Genomic DNA, 14704 nt, shown 5'->3' on the forward strand with positions numbered 1-14704 from the left:
AAAATGAGCAATAATCCCCATGCTAACACCACCACCAGTGTGACTGCATGCACATTCGCCAGCAGGGGCCCCCCGTTCCCCTGACTCATGCTGCCTCCACCGCTGTGGTGAATGTCCGCATGGAGGCAGGTACACTGACACCCATTAGCACCCTGCTGCAGCCGATGAGCGTGCACCCTGCCATGCTGTGGCTGCCACTGCTGCTGACATACGCGGATGAAGACAGATCCTGCTGTCACCATACTACGAAATGCTTTGGCTGACACCACCCATCAGAGAGTACTGACCAGCATTCTGGGAGTACCTCGGCCCCCTAGTGTAGCAGATTTCTAACCTCAAAGAACCAAAGAACACTCTCAGGTCACCATACTACTCCCCCAGAGTTACAGCACCCAGTACAGGAGCTGAGAGCTAAGTGTTCACTCCCTAAAGTCTTCCAGAAACAAAGCCAGTTGGCAGAATTCACTTCATAGCATAATCAAACCCTCAGGGTCATCAAATAGGATAAAAGCAAAAAAAAAAAAAAATCCAAAGGTCAACAACTTCAATGACTGAAGAAACATTAGTCCACAAAGATGAGAAACAACCAACACAAGAACTCCAACAACTCAAAAAGCCAAAGTGCCTTTTGTCCTAAAAATGACCACATCACCTCTCCAGCAGGGGTTCTGAACTGGGCTGAGATGGCGGAAATGACAGAAGTAGAATTCAGAATATGGATAGGAACAAAGATCATTAAGATGCAGGAGTACATTGAAGCCTAATCCAAGGAAGCTAAGAATCAGAATAAAACAACAGAAACGGACAGACAAAATAGCCAGTATAGAAAAGAATGTAAGCAACATGATAGAGCTAAAAAACACACTACAAGAATTTCATAATGCCATCACAAGCATTAATCGTAGAATAGACCAAGTTGAGGAAAGAATCTCAGAGGCTGAAGACTAGCTTTCTAAAATAAGACAGTCAGAAAAGAATAGAGAAAAAAGAATGAAAAGGAATTAATAAAACCTAAGATAAATATGAGATTATGTAAAGAAACAAAATCTATGACTCATTGGTGTCCCTGAAAGAGACAGAAAGAGTATAAGCAACTTGGAAAACATATTTCAGGATATCATCCATGAGAACTTCTCCAACCTAGCTAGAGAGGCCAACATTCAAATTCAGGAAATGCGAAGAACCCCAGTAAGATACTTCACAAGAAGATCGCTCCAAGACATACAATCATCAGATTCCTCAAGGTCAAAATGAAAGAAAAAATGTTAAAGCTGCTAGAGAGAAAGGCCAGGTAACCTACAAAGGGAAGCCCATCAGACTAACAGTGGACCTTTCAGCAGAAACCCTACAAGCCAGAAGAGACTGGGGGCCAATATTCGACATTCTTATAGAAAGGAAATCTCAACCCAGAGTTTCATATCCAGCCAAACTAAGCTTCATAATTGAGGTAGAAATAAGATCCTTTTCACACAAGCAAATACTGATGGAATGTGTTGCCACCAGACCTGCCTTACAAGAGCTTCTGAAGGAAGCACTAAATGTGGAAAGACTGTTACCAGCCACTACAAAAACACACTTTTAAATATACAGACCAGTGACACTATAAAGCAACCACACAAACAAGTTTGCACGCTAACCACCTAACATCATGATGACAGGATCGAATCCACACATACCAATACTAACCTTAAATGTAAATGGGCTAAATGCCCCAATTAAACACAGAGGGGCAAGCTGAATAAAGAACCAAGACTGATTTCACATGCAATGACACCCATAGGCTCAAAATAAAGGAATGGAGAAAAATTTACCAAATAAATGCAAAACAGAAAAAAGGGAGGTTGCAATCCTAATTTCAGATAAAACAGACTTTAAACCAAAGATCAAAAAAGACAAAGAAGGACATTATATAACAGTAAAGGGTTAAATACAACAAGAAGACCTCACTATCCTGAATATATATGCACCCAACACAGAGGCGTCCAGATTCACAAAAGAAAGTTCTCTGAGACCTTCAGAATCTTAGGCTCCCACACAATAATACTGGGAGACTTCAATACCTCACTGACAGTATTAGATCATTGAGGCAGAAAATTAACAAAGATTTTCAGGACCTGAACTCAGCACTGGATCAAACGGACCTGAGAGACATCTACAGAACTCTCCACTAAAAGCAAGAGAGAATACATTCTTCTCATCACCACATGGCACATACCCTGAAATAAATCATACAATCAGACATAACACACTCCTCAGCAAATGCAAAGTAACTGAAATCATAACAATCACTCTCTCAAACTACATCGCAATCAAATTAGAAATCAAGCCTAAGAAATTCACTCAAAACCATATAATCCATGGAAATTCATTACATGAATAACCTACTCCCAAATGGCTTTTGGGTAAATAATGAAATTAAGGCAGAAATCAACAAGTTCTTTGAAACTAATGAGAACAAAGATACCTCACGCCAGCATCTCTGGGACACAGCTAAGACAGTATTAAGAGGACAATTTATAGCACTAAATGTCCACATCAAAAAGTTAGAAAGATCTCAAGTTAACAACCTAACATCACAACTAAAAGAAGTAGGGAACCAACAGAAAACCAAACACAAAGCTAGCAGAAGAAAAGAAACAAATCAATCCAAATTAGAGCTGAATTGAAGGAGACTGAGACACCAAAAAGCATTCGAAAGATCAACGAATCCAGGAGTTGGTTTTTTGAAAAAATTAATAAGTTAGATAGACATCTAGCTAGACTATCAAAGAAGAAAGGAGAGAACATCCAAATAAACACAATTAAAAATGACAAAGGGGATATTACTGCTGACCCCACAGAAATACAAATAATCATCAGAAAACACTATGACCACCTCTACGCACATAAACTAGCAAATATAAAAGATGTGGATAAATTCCTGGACACAGACACCCTGCCAAGACAGAGCCACGAAGGAACTGAATCCATGAACAGACTAATAATGAGCTCTGAAATTGAATCAGTAATAAATAGCCCACCAATCGAAGAAAATGCAGGATCAGATGGATTAACGACCTCATTTTACCAGATGTCCAAAGAAGAGCTGGTATCATTCCTCCTGAAACTATTCCAAAATATTGAGGAGAATGGACTCCTTCTAACTCATTCTATGAGGCTACCATCATCCTGAAACCAAAACCAGGCAGAGACAACCAAAAAAAAAAAAAAAAAAAAAAAAGCAAGAAAGAAAAGAAACTTCAGGCCAATGTCTTTGATGAATTTTGAGGTAGAAATCCTCAACAAAATACCTGCAAACTGAATCCAGCAGCACATCAAAAAGCAAATGCATGATGATCAAGGAGGCTTCATGCCTGGGATGCAAGGTTGATTCAAATCAATACATGTGATTTATCATATAAGCAAATTAAAGACAAAAACCACATGATTATCTCAATAGATGCAGAAAAGGCTTTCAATAAAATTCAGTATCACTTTTATGTCAAACATGCTCAATAAACTAGGTATTGAGAAAACATACTTCAAAATAATAACAGTCATCTATGACAAACACACAGTCAACATTAAACTGAATGGGCAAAAGCTGGAAGCACTTCCTTGAAAACCAGCACAAGATAAGGATGCTCTGTCTCACCATTCCTTACCTAACATAGTATTGGAAGTCCTGGCCAGAGCAATCAGGGAAGAGAAATAAATAAAGGGCATGTAAACAGGAAGAGGGAAAGTTAAGTTATTCCTGTTTGCAGATGACATGATCCTATATCTAGAAAATCCCACAGTCTCAGCTCAAAAACTTAAGCTAATAAAAAAACTTCAGCAAAGTCTCAGGATACAAAATTAATGTACACAAATCACTACCATTCCCATACATCAACAACAGTCAAGTCAAGAGCCAAATCAGAAATGCAATCCCATCCACAATTGCCACAGAAAGAATAAAATATCTGGGAATACAGGTAATCGGGGAGGTGAAAGGTCTCTACAATAAGAATTACAAAACACTGCTCAAAGAAATCAGAGATGACACAAACAAATGGCGAAACGTCCCATGCTCATGAATAGGAAGAATCAAAATTCTTAAAATGACCATACTGCCCAAAGCAATTTATAGATTCAATGCTATTCCTATTAAACTACCAATGACACTCTTCACACAACTATAAAAAAAACTATTTTAAAATTCATATGGAACAAAAAGAGCCCGAATAGCCAAGACAATCCTATGTAAAAAGAGTAAAGCTGGAGGCAACATGCTACTAGCTTCAAACTATGCTACAGCACTACAGTAAAAAAACAGCACACCAAAATAAAAACAGAGACCAATGGAATAGAATAGAGTATCCAGAAATAAGGCTGCACACCTGCAACCATCTGATCTTCAAAAAAAAACTGACAAAAAACAAGCAATGGGAAAGGATTCCCTGTTCAATAAATGGTGCTGAGATAACTGGCTAGCCATACGCAGAAGGTTGAAACTGGACCCCTTCCTTACACCATACACAAAAATTAATTCAAAATGGATTAAACATTTAAATGTAAAACCCTAACCAATAAAAACCCTGGAAGACAACCTAGGCAATACCATGTTGGACACAGGAATGGGCAAAGATTTCATGACAAAGACACTAAAAGCAATTACAACAAAAGAAAAAATTGACAATTGGGATATAATTAAACTAAAGAGCTTCCGCACAACAGAAGAAACATTCAACAGAGTGTAACAGAAAACTTACAGAATGGGAGATACATTCTGCAAACTATGCATCTGACAAAGGTCTATTATCTTTTTTTTTCTTTTTTTGAGACAGAGTCTCACTGTGTCGCCCAGGCTGGACTGCAGTGGTGTGATCTCAGCTCACTGTAACCTCCACCTCTCAGGTTCAAGTGATCCTCCCACCTCAGCCTCCCAAGAAGCTGGGACCACAGGTATGTGCCACCATGCCAGGCTAAATTTTTTTTGTATTTTTAGTAGAGATGAAGTTTCACCATTTGGCCAGGCTGATCTTGAACTCCTGACCTCAAGCAATCTGCCCTCCTCAGCCTCCCAAAGTGCTGGGATTACAGTTGTCAGCCATCGCACCCAGCCAAAGGTCTATTATCTAGTATGTATAAGAAACTTATACAAGCTTACAAGAAAAGAAAAAGCAACCCCATTAAAAAGTGGGCAAGGTACATGAACACTTTTCTAAAGAAGACATACATGTGGCCAAAAAAATATGCAAAACGCTCAACATCACCTATCATTAGAGAAATACAAATCAAAACCACAATCAAATGCTATCTCACACCAGTCAGAATGGCTATTACTAAAAAGTCAAAAAATAACAGATGCTAGCAAGGTTGCAGAGAAAAAGGAACTTAGACACTGTTGGTGGGAGTGTAAATTATTTCAACCATGTGGAAAACAGCATGGTGAATCCTCAAAGACCTAAATTCAGAAATACCATTTGACCCAGCAATCCTAGTGCTGGGTATATATCCAAAGGAATATAAGTCATTCTATCATAAAGACACATGTATGTGTATGTTCATTGCAGCACTATTCACCATAGCAAAGACAAGGAATCAACTCACATGTCCATCAATTGGCAGACTGCATAAAGAAAATGTGGTACATATACACCATGGAATACTCTGCAGCCATAAAAAAGATTGAGATCATGTCCTTTGCAGTAACATGGATGGAGCTGGAGGCCATTATTCTTAGCAAACTAACATGGAACAGAAAGCCAAATACTTCATGTTCTTACTTATAAGTGGAAGCTAAATGAGGAACACAGATGGACACATAGAGGGAAACAATAGACACTGGTGCCTGCTGAAGAGTAGAGGATGGGAGGAGGAAGAGGATTAGGGAAAATAACTAATGGGTACTAGGCTTAATACCTGGGTGACAAAATAATCTCCAGGAATAGACTTCATGTGTATCTTTTGAATAGCCTCCAGTTTTTGTGTAAAAATACCCATGGGGGGGCTATGTTCCTGGAGCAATGCTTCAGGCCCCGTGACATGAGCTTACCCTATGTAACAAACCCGCACATGTACCCCTGAACTTAAAAGTTTTTTTAAAAAGGTCAGATAGTAACTATTTTAGGTTAGGTGGATGGTCTCTTTCCTTGTTGTATGAAAGCAACCCTAGACAATAAATAAAGGAACTCACATGGCTGTGTTTCAATAACAGTTTATTTAGACATGTTGGGGAAAAAAAAGTCCCAAAGACCTGAATAAACATTTCTCAAAAGAAGACATAAGAATGTTCAACATAACTAGTCATCAAGGAAATTCAAATCAAACCCCAATGAGATACAATCTCAGGCCAGTTAGAATAGCTATTATTAAAAGGACAAAAAATAACACTAGCAAGGATGTGGAGAAAGGGGAATGCTCATACATTGTTGGTGGGAATATAAAGTCATACGGTAAATATGGAAAACTGTATGGAGGTTTCTCAAAAAACTAAAAGTAGAAGTACCATATGATCCAGCAATCCCAATGCTGGATATATAGCCCCAAAGAAAGGAAATCAATATGTTAAAGAGGTATCTGTACTCCCATGTTTATTGCAGCACTGTTCACAATAGCCAAAATCCATATTTTGTTAATGAACCTAAGTGTTCATTAACAGATGAATAAATAAAAAAATGTGGCATATGTGTGTGTATATACATGCACACATACAATGGAATATTATTCAGCCACAAAAAAATGAAATCCTGTCTTTTGCAGCAATACAGATTGAACTGGAGGTCACTATGTTAAGTAAAATAAGCTAGGCACAGAAAGACAAATATTGCATGTTCTTATTCACTAAAACTGTGGATCTCATGGAGGTAGAATGGCGGTTACCAGAGGCCGGAAAGAGAATAAGGGGCAGTGAAGAGAAGTTGGTTAATGGGTACAAAAATAGTTAGATAGAAAAAGTAAGTTCAGGTATTAGATAGTACAGTAGGAAAATTATAATTGACAATAACTTATTATATGCTTCAAATAGCTAGAAGTGAAGAATTGTAGAGTCTCCAACACAAAAAAGGATAAATATTTGAGGTGTTGGATATTCCAATTACCCTGATTTGATTATTACATATTGTTTATGTATCCAAATATCATATGTACCCCCAAAATATATATAACTATGATATACCAATTAATAAACACACAAATAAAGAAAAAAATAACTGATAGTAAAAAGAATGGTAGGACTTTATGGTAAAAAGTCTGCAAGGTGGAGCTTCCCAGTGATTCTCTTTTCCACAATTAGGTTTACTTTTCAATTTAAGGGGGAAAAAATCTAGGAATATAGCTTCTGGCCCCTGCCCTCTCCTCATTTCTCACAATGCTGCTGAAACTATTCTTTGGTTAAGATGACTGCTCACTTCCTAATTTCCAAATTGTCAGTACTCATCCCTCTGGACTTCACTGGAGTATCTGTCTTTGCTGATCACTGTGCTGAAATGCTCCCATTTGCTAGGCTTCCAGCCACACTTCCCTGACTTTCCTCTTACTTTGCTCATTGTTCTTTTTCAGGTTCCTCTTCCTTTTCTCTCCCAGATGTGTTTTCTTAAGGTTACGCCTTTGATTCTTTTATTTTTATTTTGCTCTTTAGCAATCTCATCCCACATTTATGGTTCTAATCATCACATCTATATGAATGGTCACCATAATCTAGTGGTGACATCTCAAGTTCTTGTAGTTTTATTTTCTATCATCTCAACCTGGATCTTCTGGTAGTAACTTAAATATATTCATTTCTGTCCTAAAGTGTCCCTTTCTTAATTTTGTTTCCAATTTCTTCTAATATAACCACTATTTTCCCAGGTACTAGGCTATAAACCTCAAATTCATTCCCTTTCACCTCCATCATCACAATCATCTAATTTGTTTTCAGTTTCTGATCAATTTATATTGTCTATTTGCAATTTGTCCCATCTTAAAAATTCTTATTCCTACATCTCTTATTCAGATCCTGACTTCTGCATGTAATATTCAATTATCTTTTAGCAGGTCATGCCTCTCCCTTTTCCCATTCAGTTGACACAGAATTTTCAAATCAATCTTCCGAAAGCACAGCTGTGATGATGTCACTCTCCTACTCAAAACCTGTAGTACCTGTAGTAACTAAACCAAATCTATGAAACTGATCTAAACCCCTTCACTTGGCACTAAGGGCTACAACTTACCTTTCCACAGACTATGCCCTCCCACTGGTTCTTAAGTGGGGCAACATCACTTTACTGGGAGGTTTATGGAAATGTGTGAAGGCACTTTTGGTTATTAGAAAGACTGGACTGGGGGAGGTGGAAGTTGTGTCTTAGTGCTGATTCTGAGCTTTCTGGCCTCCCCAGAAAAGGTTGATCCCCACCACTGTGACTGTATCACACAACAAATAATTGTTCCACCCAAAATCCAAGGGTGCCTCCTGTAAAGAAACAACGTGGCTTAGACAGACTCAATTGTTTACTTTTTTCAATTTCTATTACATGTTTTTCCATCTCCGTTGCCTAGAATGCCCTTTTCGTATTTTCCCAAATGTGCAAATCTTGCTTCTCCTTTAAGGCCCATGGAAAATGACATTTTTCTGTGGGCTCTCCCTGTGTCCCCTGACATGAATCCAATTCTCATGCCATTTCCACCGATTCCTCCCAAACACCACTTCCTTTCTATCTGGATAATAAATTTTCAATTTTGATTATAAACTTAATGTCAGCAAGGCTCTACCTTTATTTTCCTCCGTGACTAGAAGAACATTGTACAGGCCAGCACAGATCCTTTATGTTAATGTGCTTAATATCACAGCACACACCATGATTATAAATGAGGCTGTAAACACTTTGGTTTGTAATTCATTCTGAGATTCTTGCCTTGGCCTGCATGTGAAACTATGCTAATTCTAGGCTATGTACTTTAAAGTCATTATCTAATTTTTTACCCCACTTTCCCACTTGAGTTTGATGGCCATGACTTCTCCTCCACAAATTCTGTTTCTTCTGCCAGGACACACCACCTCCGATTTTCCTTCTAATAAAACTTAGGCCTTAAAATTCTTATTTCTCAGAACTGCTCCACTGAGTACCCCCTAAATCCCCACTCCCTGCCCCTGCCTCACCCTAGCTTCATGGATGCTCCCAGTAGGTGGTCCGTAAGTATTTGTTGAATGAAGAGTTCCTTGGAGTAGGTGGAAGAAAGTGGCTGTGTAATTGGAACAAGATACAGGGCAGTGATAGGACAAAGGCACAGACATTTATTTCCAGTCTTAGTAGCTGTGCTCATAGCTGCACCCACGCACTCTCTCCCCACATAGATACCACACCATCACTAGAAAGAAACTGGTACTAAACTTACATTTGAAATCACCCTAGTCAGTCTTGAGGATACACCACTCAATTATTATAAGCTTTTTAAAAATAAAATCACCTCATTTAAGTCTTTTTTACATTATGACGCGACTGTTTGTTTCCAAAGTCTTAAGAGCATTTTGTGCCATTCCCTGAAGTGAAAAGAAATAAATTAGGCATAAATTATAAAAGGCCTGATATGGCTTTTACATGATTCTTAAAGAATATGGTCATTTTACATTGAATATTTGGGTCCTATATTGTTTAGTTGCAAACAAAACATCCATCATCATCATCAACAGTAGATGAAAGAGAATATGTTTGCTTCCCAAAGCTTGATACTTAGAAAATTAAGTGCTTTCAGTTCGCAGATATGACAACTTCTCTACCAGAAAAACAAATAAAAAACCCATACAAATAAGCACATAGCTTTCCATTTTAAAGAGATAGTCTAATGCTCTTACTGAAGTGTGTGCTAAATACATCATAACTTAATCAGAACAAGTTGCTGTTTTTACAAAATAGTCCTGTCTATGCAGAGAGAGATAATGCCAGTCACTTCACATGACTTGTACTTCAACAGACAAAGTGTCATACTGGGACTTTTTATCATTTTGATTAGAAATTGGGAGTTTCTACACTCCCAGAAAACAAAGAAGGAAGGGGAATAGTAATGGCTTCCAGCATTTACCTGCCAATGAATATAATCTGAAAAAGGTCATTGAGGTATAATCATTCACTCAGCAAAAATGTACTGAGTACCTACTATGTGTCAAGCATTATTCTTAGGATATATCAGCGGAACAAAAATTCCTATCCTCATGGAGTTTATGGCTTTCCATGCTAAAATATGAATACAAGTGATCTCCAGTGCATGCCCTAGCCCAAATACTTTGTTCTTTTTATATTTCACATGCTTCTCTAGGGCAATCTTGACTTTCTTCCCTACTTATCAACACACTCAATATATATCTCTTTTAGAAATTACAGATTTTCAGTAACAACTTATAAAAATATTATCTCTTTATACCCAACCACATCACTGAAAATAAATTAGGTATCTCTGGAAGCTGTTTTAGCCCTGTCAGGTTATTGGATACTACTTGGTGAGAGCAACAGATAGATATAACAAAGCAATACTACATAGTGACTCAAACTAGACCGTGATTGGAAAACTTGACTTATTTTAGAACCACATATTTTAGAACCACATTTCTCTCTTGTGATTTTGGAAAATCTAAGTACTTAGGAGGGTTTGCCTAATTGAATGTGTATTCACCACAGGGAAAATACCCTAGGTTTTCATCATGATTTTTGTTAATTAGTGAATCTTATTTATGGAAAGAACACTTAAGAGGATCTAATTCTTCTACTTCTCAATAATGAAATTCTCTCTCCAATATTTTTGTCAAGGTACACCCTATTTTGCTTTTGTTTAAACACTTCCAGTAATGAGGTGATAGCTCACTATGGCTTAAAACAACTTATTCTTTTTCTGCCTATCCTTTAAACTATGGGCCCAGGACTCAGCATGAAATTCTTGATGTGGACATTCCTGTGCCAAGTATATTGAAAATTTCCTTCTATTTCACAAGCTAAGTATCATAACCATTTTATTTTATTTTTCATGTCATATGAATAATGTGCTAGTGTCATAACAAGGTTTGAAGGAGGCACGTATCACACGTGAGCATGAAAATCCAATGATCAAACTTACACTACAAAAAGATCAATTATTTCAATGCTATAAGTCAGTCCCCATATCACGCTACTGACTTATACTGTTAAGTCACCTAAATTAGTACTTTTAACTTTCTGGACTTTTCAGGCCACAAATATTTTTCAAAGAAGAAGGAGACACAGGAAGGAGAAGGAACTGACATAGGGTGGGTATATTTTTATTTTTTTATTAGTAAAGTAAAAAAATATTTTTTATTGATTGATAAATAATTTATTTGTTGCCAAAAATAAAAATGTAAAAAACTATTATCTACTTTATTATTTCATAAATCAAATATTTCTGATAAATATAAAGTAGTAAATATAAAACCTGAGAATGAAAAGTTGAATAAATTTCACTATATGAAAAAAAGCTAACTACACTGAGCTACTTTTGCTATAGACCATGAAAATGCTTTCATAGATCCAGGTTTGAAATTCATTGAACAAGAGAGCAAATGTCCCTCTCAACTCCTGATGACCCATGTGCTTTTGATGTGCAATCGTTTCACTATATGCTCGTGCAATAGGTTGTATTTAAGCTAAGGCCCTGACTTTATATTTGCCCTTATTTAATTTCAGCTTATGAGTTTTCAAACATTAGACCATTCTACCTTTCTCAGTTTTGTGCCTTACACAAATATAAAATGTTTACTTTTTCAGTATTCTTCCAAGTCACTTGTTAAAGTGGAGCAAGGATTAAGCCCTATAGATCGCTTTATCCTTCCACCAGGTTGAGTATAACTGTTCACACACCTGTAGTACTCCAGCAATCATCCAGATCACATTTCTCTCTTTCATAAAACAGACAGATCCATTAGAGGATCTAAGGATTGGGTTTCAAAAGGCTTCTAGACCCACTTTTCACCCAAGATTTGTTTGTGCCCCCCACAAAATACCTTGGTCAACTAGTCACTCTCCTTGTGTTAAATGTCTGCAGTGTTGAGAAACTCCAAATCCTGTGTTCTCAATAAAGTCCAATTCCTGTCAGGATAGCTCTGTTAAAAAACTCTTCTCTATATTGAGATAAAATTTGCATTCTTCTAACATCTGCTCATAGGTTGTATTTTGCCCCTCGGGGCCCTTCAGAACAAGTCATTCACATCATAGTCCTTTAAAGATATAATGAGAGTGATTGTGTTCCTCCAGGTCTTTTCCTGGCTAAAAATTCCCTATTGCTTTTCTGAGGTGTTCATATGATATAGTTTCAACTCATGTCACTATTTCAAATATCTCTGCTAAATATGCTCCAAGTGACAAATCTTTTTTGAAGGGTGATACCTATAACTGGGCAAAGCTTTACAGTGTGGTCCTTTGTACACAGTAAGAACCAGAACAACTCAATTCACTGAAACCTACGTGAATTCAATTGTACTTAACAAATAGAAACTCAGGGCCACCCTATTAGCTCCTCCTGACCCAGGACTTAACTGACTCACTCTAAAATCAATCTAGCCTATGAATTCAGATCTCATCTTTGGTCAGTATCTATACATAAAATAGTCACTGTAAAGGATTTTTTTCTATCAGTTACAGCTCAAAGTAATTATACTGTCTTTTTTTCATCTTATTAAAAATAAGACACACCATATTAAGAAAAATATCAAGAAGCTGTTGCCAAAATCATCCCTGCCCTCTATGAATATAGAATGATTTATCATTCTAGCAACCTTCTCACTGATTTATACACTGAACAAATATTTATTGAACATCCAATATATATTTTATTTCTGCTAGGTACAGGGGATATTAATGGTGAATAAGGGAGATCAAATCACTGACTTCATGAACTTTCTGTGTGAGTGTGTTATATATAATAAAGGTAACAAATTAATATAAAATATAACTTCAGGTTGTGATATAGACTCTAAAATAAATAAATATGGTAACATAATAAGTCACAGCTGGAGGAGTGATTTAGGGAGAAGGGAGATTGATCTCTGAGAAGATGATATTTAAGCTGAGTCCTCATAAAGTGAACATAAAAGAAGTTGTCCAAACTGAATCCAGCAGCACATCAAAAAGCTTATCCACCATGATCAAGTGGGCTTCATCCTGGGATGCAAGGCTGGTTCAATATACGCAAATCAATAAATGTAATCCAGCATATAAACAGAACCAAAGACAAAAACCACATGATTGTCTCAATAGATGCAGAAAAGGCCTTTGACAAAATTCAACAACTCTTCATGCTAAAAACTCTCAATAAATCAGGTATTGATGGGACGTATCTCAAAATAATAAGAGCTATCTATGACAAACCCACAGCCAATATCATACTGAATGGGCAAAATCTGGAAGCATTCCCTTTGAAAACTGGCACAAGACAGGGATGCCCTCTCTCACCACTCCTATTCAACATAGTGTTGGAAGTTCTGGCCAAGGCAATTAGGCAGGAGAAAGAAATAAAGGGTATTCAGTTAGGAAAAGAGGAAGTCAAACTGTCCCTGTTTGCAGATGACATGATTGTATATCTAGAAAACCCCACTGTCTCAGCCCAAAATCTCCTTAAGCTGATAAGCAACTTCAGCAAAGTCTCAGGATATAAAACCAATGTACAAAAATCACAAGCATTCTTATACACCAATAACAGACAAACAGAGAGCCAAATCATGAGTGAACTCCCATTCACAATTGCTTCAAAGAGAATAAAATAACTAGGAATCCAACTTACAAGGGACGTGAAGGACCTCTTCAAGGAGAACTACAAACCACTGCTCAAGGAAATAAAAAAGGATACAAACAAATGGAAGAACATTCCATGCTCATGGATAGGAAGAATCAATATTGTGAAAATGGCATACTGCCCAAGGTAATTTATAGATTCAATGCCATCCCCATCAAGCTACCAATGACTTTCTTCACAGAATTGGAAAAAACTACTTTAAAGTTCATATGGAACCAAAAAAGAGCCCGCATCGCCAAGTCAATCCTAAGCCAAAAGAACAAAGCTGGAGGCATCACGCTACCTGACTTCAAACTATACTACAAGGCTACAGTAACCAAAACAGCAAGGTACTGGTACCAAAACAGAGATATAGATCAATGGAACAGAACAGAGCCCTCAGAAATAACGCTGCATATCTATAACTATCTGATCTTTGACAAACCTGAGAAAAACAAGAAATGGGGAAAGGATTCCCTTTTAATAAATGGTGCTGGGAAAACAGGCTAGCCATAGGTAGAAAGCTGAAACTGGATCCCTTCCTTACACCTTCTACAAAAATTAATTCAAGAAGGATTAAAGACTTAAACGTTAGACCTAAAACCATAAAAACCCTAGAAGAAAACCTAGGCAATACTATTCAGGACATAGGCATGGGCAAGGACTTCATGTCTAAAACACCTAAAGCAATGGCAACAAAAGCCAAAATTGACAAATGGGATCTAATTAAACTAAAGAGCTTCTGCACAGCAAAAGAAACTACCATCAGAGTGAACAGGCAACCTACAAAATGGGAGAAAATTTTCACAACCTACTCATCTGACAAAGGGCTAATATCCAGAATCTACAATGAACTCAAACACATTTACAAGAAAAAAACAAACAACCCCATCAAAAAGTGGGCGAAGGATATGAACAGACACTTCCCAAAAGAAGACATTTATGCAGCCAACAGACACATGAAAAAATGCTCATCATCACTGGCCAT

General features: G+C 37.2%; 1 protein-coding gene and 1 non-coding gene across 9 annotated transcripts in view; both read right to left on the bottom strand.

Annotated features, from left to right (window-relative positions):
* The window catches only part of CTNNA3 (catenin alpha 3), a 1851072-nt gene that overhangs the window by 691754 nt on the left and 1144614 nt on the right, over positions 1-14704 (bottom strand). The window lies entirely within an intron of this gene.
* On the bottom strand, positions 10961-11062 carry LOC124902584 (small nucleolar RNA U13). Its single transcript, XR_007062417.1, has one exon. It is a non-coding gene; the product is annotated as a small nucleolar RNA U13 (small nucleolar RNA).

The sequence above is a fragment of the Homo sapiens genome, chromosome 10, assembly GCF_000001405.40.
Source record: "Homo sapiens chromosome 10, GRCh38.p14 Primary Assembly".
Classification (NCBI taxonomy): Eukaryota; Metazoa; Chordata; class Mammalia; order Primates; family Hominidae; genus Homo; species Homo sapiens.